We start from the raw sequence: 22728 nt of genomic DNA on the forward strand, positions 1-22728 counted from the left end.
ATGTTGAAATGTGATTCCCAGTGTTGGAAGTGGGGCCTGGTGGGAGGTGATTGGAACATGAGGGTGGATCCCTCATTAATGGGTTAGCACCATTCCATCGGTGATGAGTGAGTTCTCGCTCTGAGTTCGTGTGACATCTGGTTCTTTAAAAGACCATGGCATCTTCCTCCCCCTTGCTCCCACTTCACTTTCTGCTGTGATTATAAGCTTCTTGAGGCCTTCACCAGAAGCTGAGGAGATGTTGGTACCATACTTGTACAGCCTGCAGCACTGGGAGCCAATTAAACCTCTTTTCTTTATAAATTACCAGTCTCAGATATTCCTTTATGGTAATGCAAGAACGGCCTAAAAGAGTTGACAGTCATCAGTTTTCCATACATAGAACACAATAGGAAGAATATAACAGAAAATACCATAGAGAGCTAAGTATTATTGAGGTCAAGGTAAAGGAATTTAAAGTTTACTGTATCACACTGAAGGAGGGCTAAGAACCTTGCTTTTTCACACACATACTGTGAGTTTCTTTAATACACATGATGAGTAAATTAATATTTGCTTATTTCAATTATTTGTGGGAAAAAGATGAATAAAATAGTCTGAATAATCCCCAATGATGAAGCAGAGACACAGGCTGGACTTTGAGGACTGGATAGGATGATAGTTGACAGAAAACGGGGAGGAGGTGGGAATGACCCTTGAGCTTTAAACAGAAGGTGTACAGTGAAGGGAGTGTCTAGTGAGGAGCTAAAGGAGAATGTCTGGGCCAGGTATGAGAGGAAACTGGGAGCCAGTGAAGCACTTTATTTGTGTGTTTAGAATTAGAAGACAAAAGCAGAAACACACTGTGGGTTAGAAAGAGTAGAACCATAGAAGGAACTTAGATTGGAAGACTAGTTAACTTTCTTCTCTGTTGTAGTAATCAAGGAATGCATTGACAAGAGCTTGTGCTAAGTTAATAGTAGAAAGATGAAGAGAAAAGGAGGGATTCATTGCAAAGGATAATTCAATGGCCTAAGCTCTCCCGCTGTGCATACCGTGGAGTTCCTCCGTTAAGTAAAGGAAGGGGACCCTTATGACTCCCTGCCTGCATTGTCAGATGTCATGTGATGATGGTCATGACTCCTATCCCTAGGATAGAACAAATGCGTCAGTGATGGAGGACCCTGAGAAAATAAAGTAGGAGAAGGGAGGGATAGGGTATGAGTGCAAAACTAAATTTGTCTGCCTCTTTATCTCTATGGAATTCTTTCAAACCTTTCCTCCCTTGCTTCTCATACCACCAAATAAAGACGCCCATCTAAACCTGCAACTTCACATCAACTTTTACCATTTTCAAGAGCTTCCAAGCCAGGAATGTTAGAGCTGGAAGGAACATGATAAAAAGAAGGAAAGTGAAAGTGAACAGTTTACACAGCCAGCAGCACAGTAACCGGCAAGGGGCAAACAAACCCATAGATGCTTCCTGAATGAAACAAATGAGATACAGGGAAAAGATTAAAACCAAGAACCTCTGACTTCCAGACCACTTGACTCTGCTGCCTGACCCTCTTCTTAAATCCATGCTGCCTGAGTAAACGTCCAGGCTCCACATATTTAGACCACATCGGGAAACTAGACTTCATACTGAGACTTACGGTGAGCACTGCCTTTTAGTTAAGGGGAGGGGATAGGAGAAAAGTATCTGGAGAAGCCATAAAATTAGATTCATTAAGTTATCAGAGCCCTAAAAAGAAATCTGGCCCCACTGGTGATACACTGAAAAAAAAATAATTGGTTGGGCTGGCCATAGGGGCCTAAAGGTTCACAGAGAGGAATCAGTGCTAAAGGTAGTAAGAAAAACAGCTCAAGGAAACCCTCTGAGCTAGCAGTACTTTCTTTCCTACAACTTCATTTTAGCTTGGCTTTGTTTTTTATATTGTTTGGGGGCTATTTTATTAAGCCCATGGATCCCTCAGACAGGTATACAGCAATAGGGTGAAATAAAAGAGAAGAAATATTTGCTACAGAATGGAGCGAGTAAAGAAAAAGATTATCTTTTGTGGGGAGGCTCTGAAATCCTTGGGTCTCTAGATCAATGCCTTCTCCTCAATTTTCCTTTCAGTTCCCACATATATGGATTGTGGGCAATCAGAAGCTCAAAGTGGAAGCTCTGAAGATGGGATCCTTTCTGGTGTGTTGAAAAATCCCTGGGCTTGTGGGTCAGCAGGATGGGTGTGGTGTCTCTCAGCTATGGGAATGTAAGATTTACATTTTGGGGCCATGGAATTAAACAGATGAGGGTGGACTCTTAGCTCTGTGACTTGGTCAAGTTCTTAACCTCCTAATTCAGTTTTCATTTCTAAAATGAAGATAATAATCATATCTACTTCATTCACTGTTTTTAAGGATTAAATGGGATAATTTAAGTAAAGTGCTGAGCACTCGGCCCAGTCCACAGGAAGCACATAGTAAATAATGCAGATGATCATTATTAATAGAAATTATTATTATTATTACTAGGGAGCTTCCTGTAGTGCCCACTGGGAAACAACATGGTTGTGTGGCTACAGCCTGGGCAGCAGAAGTAGGTGACAAAGGAGAATAAACCAACAGCTTGGCCTCCGGAGCTTTGGGTTTCTGTCTTTGCCCTAATAGTTTCCAGTTTAACTCAGAAAAATCTCCAAACCTCTCTAGATTTTGGTTTGTGTCAGAAGTGTTAAAAAAGTATAATAAAAGCCCCAGGGAGATGATGGACCAGAGAGAAAACTTTATACACTGAACTGTTACGTTATACATGTGAACTATTTTTTGTTATTTGTAACAAATCTGGACAGCCCCTTCCTTTGTACCTCCAGCTCCTGCCTTTTTAATCTCTGATGCCAATCTCTGAACACTGCTAGGGCAAGCCCAAAGGGGAAAGTTGACTATAACTTGGTGATCTATGCTATGGTGATCTGCGTGGAGACTTTTTGTCAAGTTTATTGTCACATCACACTTTCCCCAGAGCAGCTGTGGGTCACTCCCCTTCCTAACACCCCTACCCTTTTAAATCCTTCTACCTGCAGCATCTGAATGGCATGAAAACATGGCCTCACTGCCTATGAAACAGACTCGTGTCACATGGGAGGGGTCTCAGTCAATCAGAAAACGAGGGTCAAGGGAAGTTCTGCTGCAACTGCAGAGGTGTGGCCTCAGTTCTCTTTGGCCGGTTTCTGCAATCTCCTCAAAAAGACAGAAATATGTCTGAGTCCCGCGAAGGAGAATAAAAACAAAGAGATCCTTTTAGCCTGGAGGAAGAACCAAGCTTGCAAATAGAGAGTCTTGTGCTCAGGCAACATTCTGCCAGCCAAGTTGTAGCTATCTACAGAGATCCTCAGAGGCAGGTCTGCATGGAATTTACCTGTCGTTGAGCCTGCATCTGGGAGCTTGGAGTGACTATGAAGCACAGAGATGGCTCTTTAAACAAGTATTCCTGCAGCTTGGCATCCAAAATAATGGTGCCCTTTAAAACAGATGCTACTGGAGGCTATTTCCTTGCAAATGCACTTACTGTATTAATTCCCACTAGGCAAAATATTGGGAATTTTTCTCTTCACGTGGTTTCAGAGGCAGTTACAAATTACAAATAAAAAAGGCATCTAACATTTGGTTGCCAAATTATATTGCCCAACTTTATCAATGATGTAAGTTATTTTTTCATGAAAACAATAATAATAGAATTTGTTAAGTATGTTAAGTCCCTGAGCTCTGCATTTTTCAACGACATTCAAGGTGGGAACAGTCATCCTGGGGATAATCCCTACATTTTAGTTGTCACTCCAGTGAGCTTCTCAGTGTAAATTCACACTCAGAATTGTTTAATTCCAAAGTCAATACAATTTCCATTATGGTAAAGTGATTGTTTTCCAAGTTTCAATCCATCTTTAAATGACCAAAAATGGCGAGAGAATGTGCTATGAGGAATTCTAAAAGTGATTTTATAAAAGCAGAATCAAGTTTTATATTTAAAACTTGAGCTGGCTCTGGCCAGGCACAGTGGCTCATGCCTGTAATCCCAGCACTTTGGGAGGCCAAGGCAGGCGGATCATGAGGTCAGGAGATCGAGACCATCTTGGCTAACATGGTGAAACCCCGTCTCTACTAAAAAAACAAAAAATTAGCCGGGAGTGGTGGCCGGCGGCTGTAGTCCCAACTACTCAGGAGGCTGAGGCAGGAGAATGGCGTGAACCCGGGAGGCAGAGCTTGCAGTGAGCCGAGATCGCACCACTGCCCTCCAGCCTAGGTAACAGAGCGAGACTCCATCTCAAAAACAAAAACAAACAAACAAACAAAAAGACAAAACTTGAGCTGGCTCTATTGAAGTAAGTGTATGTACACACGTAATATATAACTACTTTAAAGGGGAGGTTTTCTCATTTCCTATCACACATTACATATGTTTATTTGGAAAAAATATTTTCTTCCTAAACTGTAACCTATGAGTTTTTTTCTCTGATGCTCTTTGGTTTTTTATTTTTAGCTTGAAAGATATTTCTAGATATGTTTGTTGGAAGTTAATTCATTAATTCAGCAGACCAGCATGCGCAGGTGCATAGTGTGGCCCGCAGTCTGATCCAAGGCAACTGTTCATATCTCCAAGCATTCTTTCTGTCTTTCTTTATCTGATGCTTGGGTATCCTTCCACCTCAGCCTGCTCACCATTTACAATAGAAAGCAAAACTTAATAAAATTCTTAAAGGTGGTGTAAATTGCACTAAAGAGCAGAGCTTCGAGTTCTCATCAGGAAGGATGACCCAAACTTAAACGAAGAAGTGGGTGTGAAGGAACCTGTACAGTGCTTGGCACAGAGAAAACACTCTAAAGTATTGACTTCGTTTTTTTTCTTCCATAAATCATCTGCTTTACATCTCATGTGTGTACATGGGGTAAAATAAGTCTTACTTCAGGAAAAATTCTTTAAAAGGACAAGTTGTGAGTCTACTTCTCTAGATATTCCCAGCTCTTTCTCAGAATCACTCAGATGGATTACAAAGTGAATATGCAGAGCCTCTTGACCAGTGATTACCCACTCTCCTCCATGAAACTTAGGGCTTTACGAGCTATCTTTCAGAGTTTCTCAAAGGACTTAGTGGTTTTAAAAGCTATAGTTCCTTAATCTAGCCAAAGACATTGGGAAAAAAAAGCATAAATGTTTTTAATCAATCTGTTACACTTGGAAAGACAATGAAGCAGGAACCTCCAGCTCACCTTGGTTCAAATTTCAATTTGACTGCCTACCAGCTGCATGATCTTAGGAAAGGCATTGTACTTTGTTATATATAGTTACACAAATATGCATGTATATATACACATACATCATATATACACATTTCTATATATAGCTATACGGTATCTGTATATACACACGCATATATATGTGCGTGTGTGTGTGTGTGTGTGTGTGTGTGTGTGTGTATAGAGAGATTAGATACAGTGAAGAGATAATTGAGCTTATGACACAGGAGAGACTACCTAAAAATACCTGTTTCCCTGTTTTTCCTATTCGCTTTTCAACTAGGTAGGTCTCTAGAGAGTGGGAAGGAAATGCTCTGAACATGTCCCATTGAGACAGATTATGAGAAGAGACAATTCAACTGTGGTCCCACAGCCAAGAAAAAATGTACATTCAGTCCTAGGCCATCTCCCATCCTCCAAAACCAAACCACCAATCCAGAGCCCAAATCCTGCCCTCTCTATGGAATTATTCCTTCTGTTCATCTCCCATGTGGCAAAAGAAAAGGAAGCTCCAGATTTCCTGATTATCTGTTGAACATTCAAGGAAGACAATCAGCATAAATCATAGTTTTGCTTAGAAACCCCAATCTCCATCCAACAACAACAATGCAATTATAATTTCCATTTTAGAATTCTTTTTTATGTATTTCCCTCTTTTGTGAGTATGTATAATGCAATCATGAAAATAAGACCAACTTTAAAATAATATTTAAAGTTCAGAATCTGTCAGTGGAATGGCCAGATTCTATTGTGGTGAACTCCCTTAGGAGAATCACATCCTATGGGGTCAGATTTTTCTCCTGCTTCACCCCCTTTTTTATTAGACACGCTACTCTGACAGTCAAGTTCATGAATCCTGCATCATAATACCTGTCTCTATATTCCTTTTGAGGGCAGACTCTTCAGAAATGCAATAACAAAATTATCAGATGATTAAGATGACAAATGCAAGAAGCCCTTTGACGCCAATAGTGTGAAGCAAAGATGGTTACCAGGCAGAGAGCATTGGCTATTAAGGAGGAAAATCAAAGGATGAGAAGGGAAGCTCAAAAAAGATACTGAAGGGGCACATGGTAATAAAAATGGTCTCTGGTGCTGAAGGAATTCTGGGATACAATAACTTAACAAACAACCAAGACCTTTGGATTGTAGAGTTTAGTACCATAAAGTCTTGCTACATTCTTGCTTGCTGTTTTCTTTTTCTTTATTATTTTTAACATCCCATAATGTGCTGGCCTGAGGAATTAGCATTGCTTTAATAGATGTAATTTTGTTACCCATGGACACTTAAAAATGGTCAGGCCATGTGGGCCCAGGTCATGATTTATGATGGCTTCCAATTCTTTCTGAACATTGTTTTTTGTGATAACCAGCTTTAAAAGTCTAAATGGTCTTTTTCAGGGGATAATGCAGAATGTATAAAAGGTATCTATTCTTTCTGCCTACACCTGGATATGATAATAGTAGTATTTAACAAAAGGCTTTAATATATACATGTAGAAGAACACATTCACAGCCCCAATTCTTCACTTCTCCACATAACTGCTTCTTTTGCTATGTGACTTTTCAGTTCTGCCCATCAAAGAGATAGAGTATGGACTGTAGGTGACTTTGGCTACAGCTTCATGACTTGCTGTGGCCAGTTGGATGTTAATGTGAGTGATGTGACCAACACATTGAAAAGCACTTGTACAGTTGGTGTTGGTCTTTTCTTTTTGCCAGTTATTGTTGTGAGAAGGGCATCAGTGGGCTTGTCTGACATCCTGGAGAAGGATGAAAGACACAAGAAACAGAACTGTTCTGATTAAGCCCAGCCTCAGGCACTGACTCCCGGGCAGTGCACAGGCATGCGAGCCAAAGAGATTCTTATCATCGTGTTGCTGTTATACACTACTGAGCTTTTGTGGTCATTTGTTTCACACCATTGTTGTCAGAAATAGATGTTACCTATAACCTAAGACCTACCTGACCTGTGAAAGACAGACACATTTGTCACATTTTTAAAGTAGCATTGACACTTGAGTTGCTTTTCTGTTGAGCTTCTCCATGTGTTTTTTTGTTGCTTATAATCTAGTTGCCTTCCCCACTCTCACCAGCCTTCCCTGGTCTTGTCTCCTCTGCTTTTATTTCTAGGGGACTGACATCTCTAAACTGTATTTCTTGTATTCTCTTGTACTCTGGCTTATGTTTGCGTTTGGCCAATGGTTGATATTAGAAGGTAGGAGGAGAGATCAGTCTTTAACTTCTTCATTTTCTTCCTGCCTTGCTGCAGTTCTAAGAGTGGTTGTATTCCTTTATAGTTACAGCTCCTGTTGAACAGCACCCTGTCCATGTCCATGGTCTAAGCTTACGCTGGGCTCCAATAACTGTGTTCCCTCCTCTTACCTGCAGGCTGGGGTGAAGACAGGGTATGAGGTGTGTGTATGTGTGTGTTTGTGGGTGACAATTTTCCTTGTTGCTTATTTCTAGGGATCTCATAATCCCTTGGTGAATTCTCTTGACTCTGTGTATAACTCAATGCCCAGTTTCTTTATTACAAATTACTTAGGGTGTGATTTTTTTTTTTTACAGTACCACCTATTTCCTGTTGAGACCCACCTTCTACATAGTTTAAATTGTACCTATTCCAAACTTCCAACAAGTATTTCGTAGAGATTCCTTAAAACAATTACAAAATCTCTGTAATTACTAATTACTAGCTCCTGTGCTTTGTAAAAAAATGAATATTATATATTATTTTCAAATTACACTGAAACAAATCAGTTTATTTGACACTCACAATATAACCTGATTGACCTCACTCAGTGAGCTGGTCAAGGCAAGAACTTTTCTCTATGGAGATGTGGAACTGAGGCATAGAATTTATTTCTAATTACTATTATTTTTATTATTTGATATAAGAATGAGATCACAAAGCTTGGCTTATGGTACTTTTTAAAAAACTGTGGTAAGAAACACATATTATAAAACTTACCATCTTAATTATTTGTAAGTGTACAGACAGTTATGTTGAGTATATTTACATTGTTGTGAAGCCAATCTCCAGAGCTTTTTTTCTTGCAGAAGTGAAGATCTGTATCTATTAAACAACTCCCCCTTCTTTTCCTCTCTCCATCCATGAGTAACAACCATTTTATTTTGTGTTTCTATGAATTTTGACTACATTAGGTACCTCATATAAGTGAAATCATATAGTATTTGGCTTTTTGTGACTGGCTTATTTAACTTAGAATAAATGTCCTCAAGGTTCCCCTCACGTTGCTGTATATGACAAGATCTCCTTCTGTTTACAATGCTTACTAATAACCCATTATATGTATATGGTACATTTTATTTGTCCATTTATCCACTGATGAACATTTAGGTTGTTTTCACATCTTGGCTACTTTGAATAATAGTCCAATGATCCTGGGAGTGCCAATATCTCTTTGAGATTCTAATTTTAATTATTTTGGCTAAATACCCAGAAGTGGAATTTCTGGGGCATATGACAGTTCTACTTTTAGATTTTTTTGAATCTGTATTGAATCTGGAGATCACTTTGGATAGTATGAACATCTTAACATTATTGTCTCCCAATTTATAAACCTGGGATGTCTTTTCATGTATTTGTGTATTTTTAAAAAATTTGTTTCAACAATGTCATATGGTTTTCAGTGTACAAGTCTCTTTGGTCTCCTGGGCTGTTTATTCATAAGTATTTTATTATTTTTGGTGTTACTATAGGATTGGTTTTTTAATTTAATTTTTAAAGTTTAGTTTTTAGTGTATAAAATCAAACTGATTTTTGCATATTAATTTTGTATTCTGAAACTTTAATTTATTAGTTCTAAGTTTGTGTGTGTGTGTGTGTGAGTGTGTGTGTAGTTTTTACTATTTTCTACATATAAGATCATGTAATCTGCTAACAGAGTTAATTTTACTTCTTCCATTTTGATTTGAATACCTTTTATTTCTTACTATTGCCTGCTTGCTCTTGCTAGGAATTACAGTACTATGTTGAATAGAAGTGGTGAGAATAGGCATCCTTGCTTTGTTCCTTATCACAGAGGAAAAGCTTTCAGTTTTTGAATACTGACTATGATGGTAGTTGTGAGCTTTTCATATATGACCTTTATTTTGTTGAAGTAAATTTTTTGATAAGAAGTTTGTTGAAAGTTTTTATCATCAAAGGGTATTGAATTTTGTCAAATGCATTTTCTGCATCTATTCAGATAACCATGTGGTTTTCATTCTTTGTTTTGTTAATATGGTGTACTACATTGGTTGATTTTAGAATGTTGAACCACCCTTGCATCCCAGGGATAAATCCCACTTGGCCATTTTTAAATTGGGTTAAATTTCTCAGTTTGCTATTTTTGTTGTTGAGTTGTTGTTCTTTGTTTATCCCAGATGTTAATTTCTTATAGATATATGATTTGCAAATATTTTTCCCATTCCATAGGTTGCTTTTTTACTCTGTTGATTGTGCCCTTTTATGCACAAAAGTTTGCAAGTTTTATGTTGTTCCATTTGTTTGCTTGCTTCTTTTCTGTGTTCTTCATGTTATAGCTAAGAAATCATTACCATGTCTAATGTCATAAAGCTTTTCCCCTATGTTTTCTTTTAGAAGTTTTAAAGTTTGAGGTCATACATTTAGTTCTTTCATCAATTTTGAGTTAATTTTTGTATATGATGTAAGGTAAGGGTCTAACTTCTTTTTTTCTTTGCATATGTATATTCAATTTTCCCAATATCAAGGCATATATACATATTTTTAGTTAGCAACAGAACTAATAATCTAATATCTAATATCAATCTAATAATTAATATCAATCTCATATTGTGCATGCATATTTGACATTTTTGATAAACAATTCTAATATTAGGTGGATTTGGGATAAAAACTGCTGTATCTATTTGGACAGCTATAGAGTGAACTCTTCCTCTAGTTTCCTCTAGCCCCCTGAATTTAGATAAGCTGTAGAACATTGTACCTCTAACCTTATAGCATCATCTTAACCCTATTATTTTCCTTTTTTGAACCTTAATATTGTATTTCTACCCAGTTTTACTTTTTACTGATTCCTTCTTATATGGATTTATATTTGTAGGTGACTTATTTGATTGACATCCTGAAACCTCCCACCTTTCCCTACTTCCTTACAGTTACTATGTACCACTCAACTGGGATAACTCCTTTTGACTTTCTCACATCTTCAATTTCTCAAAGATGAAATCATGGAGTCCTTAAAATAAGATAGAACATAACTACTCAAAAGAAGATAGAGATCTAATATTAATATAGTTAGAAATAATTAGAAAAACCAAGCATTTTGGGAAAAAAAAGAAAAAGGAAAAGAAACTAGCATTTATCCTATAAAAATCCCAGAAGAAAATCTAGAAAAAACTCTTCCAGACATCAGCCTAAGACAAGAATTTATGACAAAGACCCCAAAAGCAAATTTAACAAGCCAAAAATAGACAAATGGGACTTAATTAAATGAAAAAGGTTCTGCACGTCAAAAGAAATAATCAATAGAATAAACAGGTAACCTACAGCATGGGAGAAAATATGTGCAAATTATGCCTCCAACAAAGGATTAATATCCAGAATCTCCAAAGAACTTAAACAGCTCAATAAGAAAAAAAGCAACCAATCTCATTAAAAACTGGGCAAAGGACATGAACAGGCATTTTTCAAAAGAAGAAATACAAGTAGCCAAAAAACACATGAAAAAATGCTCAACATCACTTATCAGAGAAATGTGAATTAAAACTACACTGAGATATTACGTTAAACCAATCAGAATGGCTACTATTAAAAAGTCAAGAACAACAAATGTTGGCATGGATGCAGAAAAGGGAACACTTATATGCAATTGGTAGGAATACAAATTAGTTTAACCTCTGTGGAAAACAGTATGGATCTATCTTAAATAACTAAAAGTAGAATTACCATTCAACTCAGTATTCCCACTACTAGATATCTATCCAAAGGAAATGATATCATTACATAAAAAATACACTTGCACTCGTATGTTTATTGCAGCACTACTGACAAAAGCAAAGCCATAGGAACCAACTTAGGTGTCCACCAATGGTTGACTGGCTAAAGAAAATGTGATGCATATATACCACAGAATACTATGCAGCCATAAAAAGAACGAAATCATGTGTTTTGCAGCAATATGAATAGAGCTGAAAACATTGTCCTCAGTGAACTAACTCAGAAGCAGAAAAATATTGCATGTTGTCACTCATAAGTGGGAGCTAAACAATAGGAACACATGGACCTAAAGATGGAGATAATAGACACTGGAGACTCCAAAAAGTGGGGAGGATGAGAAGGAGGTAAGGGTTGAAAAATTACTTATTGGGTACAATATTTGGACAATAGGTACACTAGAGACCCAAGTCCCACCACAATGCAATATACCCATGTAACAAACAAATACATATACCCCCTGAATCTAAAATAAAAATAATTTTAAAAGATAAATTATAAAAGAATAACACATTCATTCTACAAACTGATGTGATATCACCACTTTAGATCCCGGGTAACTAGTTTCTACTCAACGTGAGCACTTATCCAAAAGAGTACTTACTTTACCAGTTGAACAACACTTTATAAAACTGGTATTATTTGATCTTACCATTTTGCTTTCTTTTGTATATGAATCCTGGCTTCTCTTATCCCTTGAACCAGTGTATCTCTAAATAGAATCCATGGACCCATCAAACGTGAATCCTCTGGGTTACTTACAAAATACTTATCCTGTGTCTGTCTCATTGCAGACTTCTTGGTTTAAAATAAGCAAATATTAAGAAAGTTTGAGAATAATTTTCTGAAATGTTGTTTTACTAGTAGTACTACTCTCATCCCTGTGCCCAATTTTCTTTTTTCTGAGTTGGAGGTCCCACTGTATCTCCCAGGCTATAGTGCAGTGGCACAATCATGGCTTACTGCAGCCTCCAACTCCTCCATGCCTGGCTAAGTTTAAAAAAATTTAGAGATGGGGTCTCCCTATCTCTACATAAAAAATTTTTTATTACATAAAAAATACACTTGCACTCATATGTTTATTGCAGCACTACTGACAAAAGCAAACCCATAGGAACCAACTTAGGTGTCCACCAATGGTTGACTGGCTAAAGAAAATGTGATGTATATATACCACAGAATACTATGCAGCCATAAAAAGAATGAAATCATGTGTTTTGCAGCAATATGAATAGAGCTGAAAGCATTGTCCTCAGTGAACTAACTCAGAAGCAGAAAAATATTGCATGTTGTCACTCATAAGTGGGAGCTAAACAATAGGAACACATGGACGTAAAGATGGAGCAATGTGGGCAACAGCCCACATTGGTCTCGAACTCCTGGCCACAATCCTTGTGCCACAGCCTTCCAAATTACTGGGATTACAGGTATGAGCCACTGTGTCTGGCCATTTTTTTAAAAAATGTGTTTCCTAACTTGACTTAGAGGTTCATCTGAAATTCCAACTATTATTTTATGTGCTGATCTTGTTGACTAATTCCTGGTAACTTTATCCTCTTTTCCTGCAATAGCAAAATTCCCTACATCTGAGGGCAAACTTCTTCTTGTATTTACTTGTTCCACACAGTGCATGCATTCAACAGGTCTCTGTCATTTCATCCTGGCTACCATCCTCTTTACTGGACTTGCATTAATTGTCAATGTGGCATAAACGTTTATTGCTTATCGAACAGCCATGCACTCCTGCATATTTCTCAGCAACCTTGCAGTGAGGCATGCCATAAAACTGCTTTGGCCAGGGGAATATAAAGGGGAAAATGTATCATTTTCAGAATAAAATATTTAAAAGTTGGTGTTCAACCCGTCATATCTCCTTTCCCCATAAAGAACCACCTAACAAGTTCACAACAGCCTGAATTACAGTCACTTAGAGCAGCACAGCTTCTCTAGAGATCTCTTCTTCCAACTCACATCAGAATTTGCATGAACATGCAATACATCTTTATTGTGTTACACCACAGAGATTACAGGGCCAATGTTACCACAGCTCAGCTTAGTCTATACCCACTAACATAGTTAATGTAACATATTAACCTCTTGGTTTGCCATATTAGGCTTTGCAGTTCTAGTGAGTTTGTTATGCAAATGAGTCTTTTCCTATCTTTGTTGACTGTTTAGCTTTGAACAGATTAATATAAGACATATACAATCTGCAAGGCGTTTCCAGTAACTTAGGCTTGTAGTCATTGATACTTATAATAGACCTTACTAAGTCTCATGCAGAGCATTGATTACAACATTTACTTCTTTTTGTTTACCTGAGTCCCTCCATGTCTTTAATGAGTTCTGGCTTCTATGACTCTACCTTCCAATTCTAAGTAAAACTCTTCTCCTGGGTACCTTAAATAAGACCGTTATAGATTAAGGAGTCAATGCTACCCCAGGGAACATATAGTACATTTTAGAACTTAGGTATTCTTCCAGTCAGAGCAATATAGTCAGTAACTGGATCATTTTTACCTCTCTGATGTGGATACTAGACCAATGCCTTAGAAATAATAGGTGCTTAATGCATGATCGTTAGAATATATTTGTAAACGTATTCATCTCTTTATTTTGGGGGGATTACTTGCCACTTGAGGGAAGGGACTATATCTTATGTTTAAGTTCCTCACGATGTCTTGTTCATATTAGGCACTTGGTAAACATTTAATTTCAATTTAGCAAGTAAGTCTATGTTCAAATTGAAGAGGGTTAGCACCTGGGGATGAGATGTGACTAGTGAGCCTCCATCTGCTTTTGATTCTGATGAATTAGTGCCAATGAAATGTCCAGAAGCAACATCTCAGTGAACGATTTATTTACTGTATTTCCTGCTCCTCCCACATTCAATATTTAGCCACAACATTTATTGGACAATAAGAATAGCAAACAAATATTTAAAGCCTCTAATTTCAGTTTGGCTTACTTTTGAAAATTAACACTCTGGCTTTTAAATGTCAGTCAAATCAATACAGACTCAAGACTCACAATTACCTTTCATAAAATAAATTTAATTTTTGAGTAAACACATATATACACTTGTTTATATATGAGTATATATATATTCATTTTTGAAAATAAGCTAATTCTGCTTTAATGTTTACCTTTACTACAGGAAAGTTTCCACATAAAAATGTTGTTACTCTTGGAAAAAAAAATCACTGCACCTTTGGTATTTAAAATGATTTGCAAATTATTGTGATTTATTGCTGGTATAGCTGGAATTTCTCTGATCATATTTTCTCATGTAACTAAATAGATATTTTCCCATTCATTTATCTACTGAATGGCCCTTGCTCTGATGACATGAACATAATAATTAACAATTCAATATGTCTTCTTCATCTAGAATCAATTAATTATTGTATTTAGTAATGTGCTTTACTCCACTATGAGGCATTCTTTCTGCTTGATGAATAGTGTTGTAAACATTATAAAACAACTTGTAGCTTTTTCTATAATTTCTACTTACATATGGAGTTGTAAGCAATTTTAATATGAATGTTAAAAATCTGAATATACATCATTATTTAAAAAAATACAAGTTTAAAAGTATTTTTGGTTGAGTTTTTAATATTCTTCAAGTTCAAACATTACATTTTTGACTGTTTAAATGTACCTAGTGTGTAGTAAGTGCCTACTAGGTACCCAACAGAGTGATAGACTTAAGAAATGAGGAAAAGGATCCAGAGAGAAATCCCTGCTTTGATGGAACTCATGATACAGTCAATACGATGTGCATAAACTCAAAATACCATGGTAAATACTCTTATAAGGTTACTTAGGAGGAGAGCAGAGGGGTTGGACCTAACATCACTTGAGGGTGGGTTGAGGTAGAAGGGAGTGAACAAGGAGAAAGTGTGGGGTCAGGGACAAGCTGAAAACTGTTATTTCTTTCTTTTTTTTTTTTTTTTTTATAACTTAACAGTTTTCTTTTTCACATTTATTACTTTTTTTTTTAAGTAGAGAAATACAGAGTAAAGTCAGGATGGAAAGGAAGCCATTATTACACTTCTTACCTAACGGTCACCAATGTGGTAACTGAAATTTAATGCTAGTAAGAAGCTTTGGATACAATGAAGGTGTGTGCATCATCTGTTTTTTTTTTGTTGTTTTTGTTTTTCATTTTTTATTTATTATTATTTTTTTCTTTTTTTTAAATATACTTTTAAGTTTTAGGGTACATGTGCACATTCTGCAGGTTAGTTACATATGTATACATGTGCCATGCTGGTACACTGCACCCACTAACTCGTCATCTAGCATTAGGTATATCTCCCAATGCTATCCCTCCGCCCTGCCCCCACCCCACAACAGTCCCCAGAGTGTGATATTCCCCTTCCTGTGTCCATGTGATCTCATTGTTCAATTCCCACCTATGAGTGAGAATATGCGGTGTTTGGTTTTTTGTTCTTGTGATAGTTTACTGAGAATGATGATTTCCAATTTCATCCATGTCCCTACAAAGGACATGAACTCATCATTTTTTATGGCTGCACAGTATTCCATGGTGTATATGTGCCACATTTTCTTAATCCAGTCTATCATTGTTGGACATTTGGGTTGGTTCCAAGTCTTTGCTATTGTGAATAATGCCGCAATAAACATACGTGTGCATGTGTCTTTATAGTAGCATGATTTATAGTCCTTTGGGTATATACCCAGTAATGGGATGGCTGGATCAAATGGTATTTCCAGTTCTAGATCCCTGAGGAATTGCCACACTGACTTCCACAATGGTTGAACTAGTTTACACTCCCACCAACAGTGTAAAAGTGTTCCTATTTCTCCACATCCTCTCCAGCACCTGTTGTTTCCTGACTTTTTAATGATTGCCATTCTAACTGGTGTGAGATGGTATCTCATTGTGGTTTTGAATTGCATTTCTCTGATGGCCAGTGATGATGAGCATTTTTTCATGTGTTTTTTGGCTGTATAAATGTCTTCTTTTGAGAAGTGTCTGTTCATGTCCTTCGCTCACTTTTTGATGGGGTTGTTTTTTTCTTGTAAATTTGTTTGAGTTCATTTTAGATTCTGGATATTAGCCCTTTGTCAGATGAGTAGGTTGCGAAAATTTTCTCCCATTTTCTAGGTTGCCTGATCACTCTGATGGTAGTTTCTTTTGCTGTGCAGAAGCTCTTTAGTTTAATTAGATCCCATTTGTCAATTTTGTCTTTTGTTGCCATTGCTTTTGGTGTTTTAGACATGAAGTCCTTGCCCATGCCTATGTCCTGAATGGTAATGCCTAGGTTTTCTTCTAGGGTTTTTATGGTTTTAGGTCTAACATTTAAGTCTTTAATCCATCTTGAATTGATTTTTGTATAAGGTGTAAGGAAGGGATCCAGTTTCAGCTTTCTACATGGCTAGCCAGTTTTCCCAGCACCATTTATTAAATAGGGAATCCTTTCCCCATTGCTTGTTTTTCTCAGATTTGTCAAAGATCAGATAGTTGTAGATATGAGGCATTATTTCTGAGGGCTCTGTTCTGTTCCATTGATCTATATCTCTGTTTTGGTATGAGTACCATGCTGTTTTGGTTACTGTAGCCTTGTAGTATAGTTTGAAGTCAGGTAGTGTGATGCCTCCAGCTTTGTTCTTTTGGCTTAGGATTGACTTGGTGATGCGGGCTCTTTTTTGGTTCCATATGAACTTTAGTTTTTTCCAATTCTGTGAAGAAAGTCATTGGGAGCTTGATGGGGATGGCATTGAATCTATAAATTACTTTGGGCAGTATGGCCATTTTCACGATATTGATTCTTCCTACCCATGAGCATGGAATGTTCTTCCATTTGTTTGTATCCTCTTTTATTTCCTTGAGCAGTGGTTTGTAGTTCTCCTTGAAGAGGTCCTTCACATCCCTTGTAAGTTGGATTCCTAGGTATTTTATTCTCTTTGAAGCAATTGTGAATGGGAGTTCACTCATGATTTGGCTCTCTGTTTGTCTGTTATTGGTGTATAAGAATGCTTGTGATTTTTGTACATTGATTTTGTATCCTGAGACTTTGCTGAAGTTGCTTATCAGCTTAAGGAGATTTTGGGCTGAGACAATGGGGTTTTCTAGATATACAATCATGTCGTCTGCAAACAGGGACAATTTGACTTCCTCTTTTCCTAATTGAATACCCTTTATTTCCTTCTCCTGCCTAATTGCCCTGGCCAGAACTTCTAACACTATGTTGAATAGGAGTGGTGAGAGAGGGCATCCCTGTCTTGTGCCAGTTTTCAAAGGGAATGCTTCCAGTTTTTGCCCATTCAGTATGATATTGGCTGTGGGTTTGTCATAGATAGCTCTTATTATTTTGAAATACGTCCCATCAATACCTAATTTATTGAGAGTTTTTAGCATGAAGCGTTGAATTTTGTCAAAGGCTTTTTCTGCATCTATTGAGATAATCATGTGGTTTTTGTCTTTGGCTCTGTTTATATGCTGGATTACATTTATTGATTTGCGTATATTGAACCAGCCTTGCATCCCAGAGATGAAGCCCACTTGATCATGGTGGATAAGCTTTTTGATGTGCTGCTGGATTCGTTTTGCCAGTATTTTATTGAGAATTTTTGCATCAATGTTCATCAAGCATATTTGTCTAAAATTCTCTTTTTTGGTTGTGTCTCTGCCAGGCTTTGGAATCAGAATGATGCTGGCCTCATAAAATGAGTTAGGGAGGATTCCCTCTTTTTCTACTGATTGGAATAGTTTCAGAAGGAATGGTACCAGTTCCTCCTTGTACCTCTGGTAGAATTCGGCTGTGAATCCATCTGGTCCTGGACTCTTTTTGGTTGGTAAGCTGTTGATTATTGCCACAATTTCAGATCCTGTTATTGGTCTATTGAGAGATTCAACTTCTTCCTGGTTTAGTCTTGGGAGAGTGTATATGTCAAGGAAGTTATCCATTTCTTCTAGATTTTCTAGTTTATTTGCATAGAGGTGTTTGTAGTATTCTCTGATGGTAGTTTGTATTTGTGTGGGATCGGTGGTGATATCCCCTTTATCATTTTTTATTGCGTCTATTTGATTCTTCTCTCTTTTTTTCTTTATTAGTCTTGCTAGCAGTCTATCAATTTTGTTGATCCTTTCAAAAAACCAGCTCCTGGTTTCATTAATTTTTTGAAGGGTTTTTTGTGTCTCTATTTCCTTCAGTTCTGCTCTGATTTTAGTTATTTCTTGCCTTCTGCTAGCTTTTGAATGCGTTTGCTCTTGCTTTTCTAGTTCTTTTAATTGTGATGTTAGGGTGTCAATTTTGGATCTTTCCTGCTTTCTCTTGTGGGCATTTAGTGCTATAAATTTCCCTCTACACACTGCTTTGAATGTGTCCCAGAGATTCTGGTATGTTGTGTCTTTGTTCTCATTGGTTTCAAAGAACATCTTTATTTCTGCCTTCATTTCGTTATGTACCCAGTAGTCATTCAGGAGCAGGTTGTTCAGTTTCCATGTAGTTGAGCGGTGTTGAGTGAGATTCTTAATCTTGAGTTCTAGTTTGATTGCACTGTGGTCTGAGAGATAGTTTGTTATAATTTCTGTTCTTTTACATTTGCTGAGGAGAGCTTTACTTCCAAATGTGTGGTCAATTTTGGAATAGATGTGGTGTGGTGCTGAAAAAAATGTATATTCTGTTGCTTTGGGGTGGAGAGTTCTGTAGATGTCTATTAGGTCCTCTTGGTGCAGAGCTGAGTTCAATTCCTGGGTATCCTTGTTGACTTTCTGTCTCGTTGATCTGTCTAATGTTGACAGTGGGGTGTTAAAGTCTCCCATTATTAATGTGTGGGAGTCTAAGTCTCTTTGTAGGTCACTCAGGACTTGCTTTATGAATCTTGGTGCTCCTGTATTGGGTGCATATATATTTAGGATAGTTAGCTCTTCTTGTTGAATTGATGCTTTTACCATTATGTAATGGCCTTCTTTGTCTCTTTTGATCTTTGTTGGTTTAAAGTCTGTTTAACAGAGACTAGGATTGCGACCCCTGCCTTTTTTTGTTTTCCATTTGCTTGGTAGATCTTCCTCCATCCTTTTATTTTGAGCCTATGTGTGTCTCTGCACATGAGATGGGTTTCCTGAATACAGCACACTGTTGGGTCTTGACTCTTTATCCAATTTGCCAGTCTGTGTCTTTTAATTGGAGCATTTAGTCCATTTACATTTAAAGTTAATATTGTTATGTGTGAATTTGATCCTGTCATTATGATGTTAGCTGGTTATTTTGCTCATTAGTTGATGCAGTTTCTTCCTAGTCTTGATGGTCTTTACATTTTGGCATGATTTTGCAGCGGCTGGTACCGGTTGTTCCTTTCCATGTTTAGTGCTTCCTTCAGGAGCTCTTTTAGAGCAGGCCTGGTGGTGACAAAAATCTCTCAGCATTTGCTTGTCTGTAAAGTATTTTATTTCTCCTTCACTTATGAAGCTTAGTTTGGCTGGATATGAAATTCTGGGTTGAAAATTCTTTTCTTTAAGAATGTTGAATATTGGCCCCCACTCTCTTCTGGTTTGTAGGGTTTCTGCCGAGAGATCCGCTGTTAGTCTGATGGGCTTCCCTTTGAGGGTAACCCGACCTTTCTCTCTGGCTGCCCTTAACATTTTTTCCTTCATTTCAACTTTGGTGAATCTGACAATTATGTGTCTTGGAGTTGCTCTTCTCGAGGAGTATCTTTGTGGCATTCTCTGTATTTCCTGAATCTGAACGTTGGCCTGCCTTGCTAGATTGGGGAAGTTCTCCTGGATAATATCCTGCAGAGTGTTTTCCAACTTGGTTCCATTCTCCCCATCACTTTCAGGTACACCAATCAGACGTAGATTTGGTCTTTTCACATAGTCCCATATGTCTTGGAGGCTTTGCTCATTTCTTTTTATTCTTTTTTCTCTAAACTTCCCTTCTCGCTTCATTTCATTCATTTCATCTTCCATCGCTGATACCCTTTCTTCCAGTTGATTGCATCGGCTCCTGAGGCTTCTGCATTCTTCACGTAGTTCTCGAGCCTTGGTTTTCAGCTCCATCAGCTCCTTTAAGCACTTCTCTGTATTGGTTATTCTAGTTATACATTCCTCTAAATGTTTTTCAAAGTTTTCAACTTCTTTGCCTTTGGTTTGCATGTCCTCCCGTAGCTCAGAGTAATTTGATCATCTGAAGCCTTCTTCTCTCAGCTCGTCAAAGTCATTCTCCATCCAGCTTTGTTCCGTTTCTGGTGAGGAACTGCATTCCTTTGGAGGAGGAGAGGTGCTCTGCTGTTTAGAGTTTCCAGTTTTTCTGTTCTGTTTTTTCCCCATCTTTGTGGTTTTATCTACTTTTGGTCTTTGATGATGGTGATGTACAGATGGGTTTTTGGTGTGGATGTCCTTTCTGTTTGTTAGTTTTCCTTCTAACAGACAGGACCCTCAGCTGCAGGTCTGTTGGAATACCCTGCCGTGTGAGGTGTCAGTGTGCCCCTGCTGGGGGGTGCCTCCCAGTTAGGCTGTTGGGGGTCAGGGGTCAGGGACCCACTTGAGGAGGCAGTCTGCCCGTTTTCAGATCTCCAGCTGCATGCTGGGAGAGCCACTGCTCTCTTCAAAGCTGTCAGACAGGGACATTTAAGTCTGCAGAGGTTACTGCTGTCTTTTTGTTTGTCTGTGCCCTGCCCCCAGAGGTGGAGCGTACAGAGGCAGGCAGACCTCCTTGAGCTGTGGTAGGCTCCACCCAGTTCGAGCTTCCCGGCTGCTTTGTTTACCTAATGAAGCCTGGGCAATCGCAGGCGCCCCTCCCCCAGCCTCGCTGCTGCCTTGCAGTTTGATCTCAGACTGCTGTGCTAGCAATCAGCGAGACTCCTTGGGCATAGGACCCTCCAAGCCAGGTGCGGGATATAATCTCGTGGTGCGCCGTTTTTTAAGCCCGTCGGAAAAGTGCAGTATTCGGGTGGGAGTGACCCAATTTTCCAGGTGCCATCCGTCACCCCTTTCTTTGACTCAGAAAGGGAACTCCCTGACCCCTTGCGCTTCCCAAGTGAGGCAATGCCTCGCCCTGCTTCGGCTCGCACACGGTGCGTGCACCCACTGACCTGAGCCCACTGTCTGGCACTCCCTAGTGAGATGAACCCGGTACCTCAGATGGAAATGCAGAAATCACCGTCTTCTGCGTCGCTCATGCTGGGAGCTGTAGACCGGAGCTGTTCCTATTCGGCCATCTTGGCTCCTTCCCCCAAACTGTTATTTCTTAAAGAATGAGAAAGTTGTTGCCAAATGGAGAGGATACAGCCATGTGAAGAATCCCAGGGAGAAGGAACAGCATATTCAAAAGCATCAGAACATATATACCATGTGTTCCTTGACACAGATTCAGGCCGACATGACCATATTTCAGGATATATAGGAGACAGAAGAAGGAGATAAGACTAGAGAAAGTTGCAGGAGTCATACCACAAGGGTATCACACCAAGACAGAGTCATGCCAAGACAGGTTAGACGGAGCTCTTGTCTAACAGGAAACAAGCAACTAATGAAGGGTTTTTAATAAGGAATTGCCTAATCAGGAGAATTTGTATCATCAGATTTCATGACTGGAAAACAGAATCATATAGGAAATCACTCGATTACTTTCACCATCTTTATACCTTGTTAATAATAGTTGATTTTAACTTAAATATCACAGGCTCCACTAGCTGGTAATTAAAACTGTGGTCACATTTTACAGTAAGGAACAGCATTTAGGTGTTCTGAGTCCTTACACACTGACTATCAGGAAGGTCCTTGCTTTCTAGGAAGTTTCCTGTATTAATATTGTAGAGAACCCCAAAGGCTTTTTAGATATTCTTTCCCTGTTTGGTGACTAGTTAAGGCTGCTTTCTTCTATTGAGTCTTCTGGTGTTTGGTGGGGCATAGGGTATCTTACTACCCAGTGTTCTGTGATTCCTCTGCTTATGTGCCCAGCGTTGGTCTGCTGTCTCAGGCCACTTTCCTCATTACTGCTCTTGCCCTGGACTTCTGATTCCCCAAGCAGTCCCTAGGAAGCCTATGTTACTGCAGGTCTCTTCTATATCACCAAAATCTGCCATTTCTGTTTAATTTTTAATTGAGGGGTTCAACAGAAAAGCTGCTTGGGGTCCTAGAAGCAATTATGTTTTTATGCAAAAGTTGTTTTCTTCTGAGAGAAAACAATCACTTAGGACAATAGGGCTGCTGAGAGAATAAGCATGTGTTTATATAGTAACACATAGGTCAGGGAAGGGAATCTGCCCTAATAGGACGGGTGAGAGAATAAGCATGTGTTTATACAGTAACACATAGGTCAGGGAAGGGAATCTGCCCTACACTGATAGTCTCTTCAGTTCATAATGGTGAGTGTTTGTTTTCTGAGTCATCTGTGTCTCCAGTTGTGCAGGGAAAAGGAAACACAGTTTAGCAGAGGTAGTTATAATTACAGATAAGTTTTGCCTTTTTGGTTCCTAGGTTACAGTCAAAGCAATGGATATTTCTGGGTACCTAC

General features: G+C 38.3%; 1 long non-coding RNA gene across 1 annotated transcript in view, besides 2 other annotated features; it reads left to right on the top strand.

Moving 5' to 3' along the window:
• The first annotated feature begins 2101 nt into the window (after window positions 1-2101).
• Window positions 2102-22728, top strand: part of LINC01982 (long intergenic non-protein coding RNA 1982) — a 145180-nt gene continuing 124553 nt past the window's right edge. Inside the window, exon 1 of the long non-coding RNA NR_146898.1 lies at window positions 2102-2170. This is a non-coding gene — a long non-coding RNA (long intergenic non-protein coding RNA 1982). The remainder of the gene's footprint in view (window positions 2171-22728) is intronic.
• Window positions 20694-21238: an enhancer, noted in NCBI's record as "NANOG-H3K27ac-H3K4me1 hESC enhancer chr17:50486474-50487018 (GRCh37/hg19 assembly coordinates)". NCBI's record gives its function as "activates a minimal SCP1, AML or CMV promoter by ChIP-STARR-seq in naive and primed H9 embryonic stem cells {active_cell/tissue: H9 hESC(naive and primed)}" and the evidence as "EXISTENCE:reporter gene assay evidence [ECO:0000049][PMID:30033119]".
• Window positions 21239-21782: an enhancer, noted in NCBI's record as "NANOG-H3K27ac-H3K4me1 hESC enhancer chr17:50487019-50487562 (GRCh37/hg19 assembly coordinates)". NCBI's record gives its function as "activates a minimal SCP1, AML or CMV promoter by ChIP-STARR-seq in naive H9 embryonic stem cells {active_cell/tissue: H9 hESC(naive)}" and the evidence as "EXISTENCE:reporter gene assay evidence [ECO:0000049][PMID:30033119]".

The sequence above is a fragment of the Homo sapiens genome, chromosome 17 (genome assembly GCF_000001405.40).
Source record: "Homo sapiens chromosome 17, GRCh38.p14 Primary Assembly".
Lineage (NCBI taxonomy): Eukaryota > Metazoa > Chordata > Mammalia > Primates > Hominidae > Homo > Homo sapiens.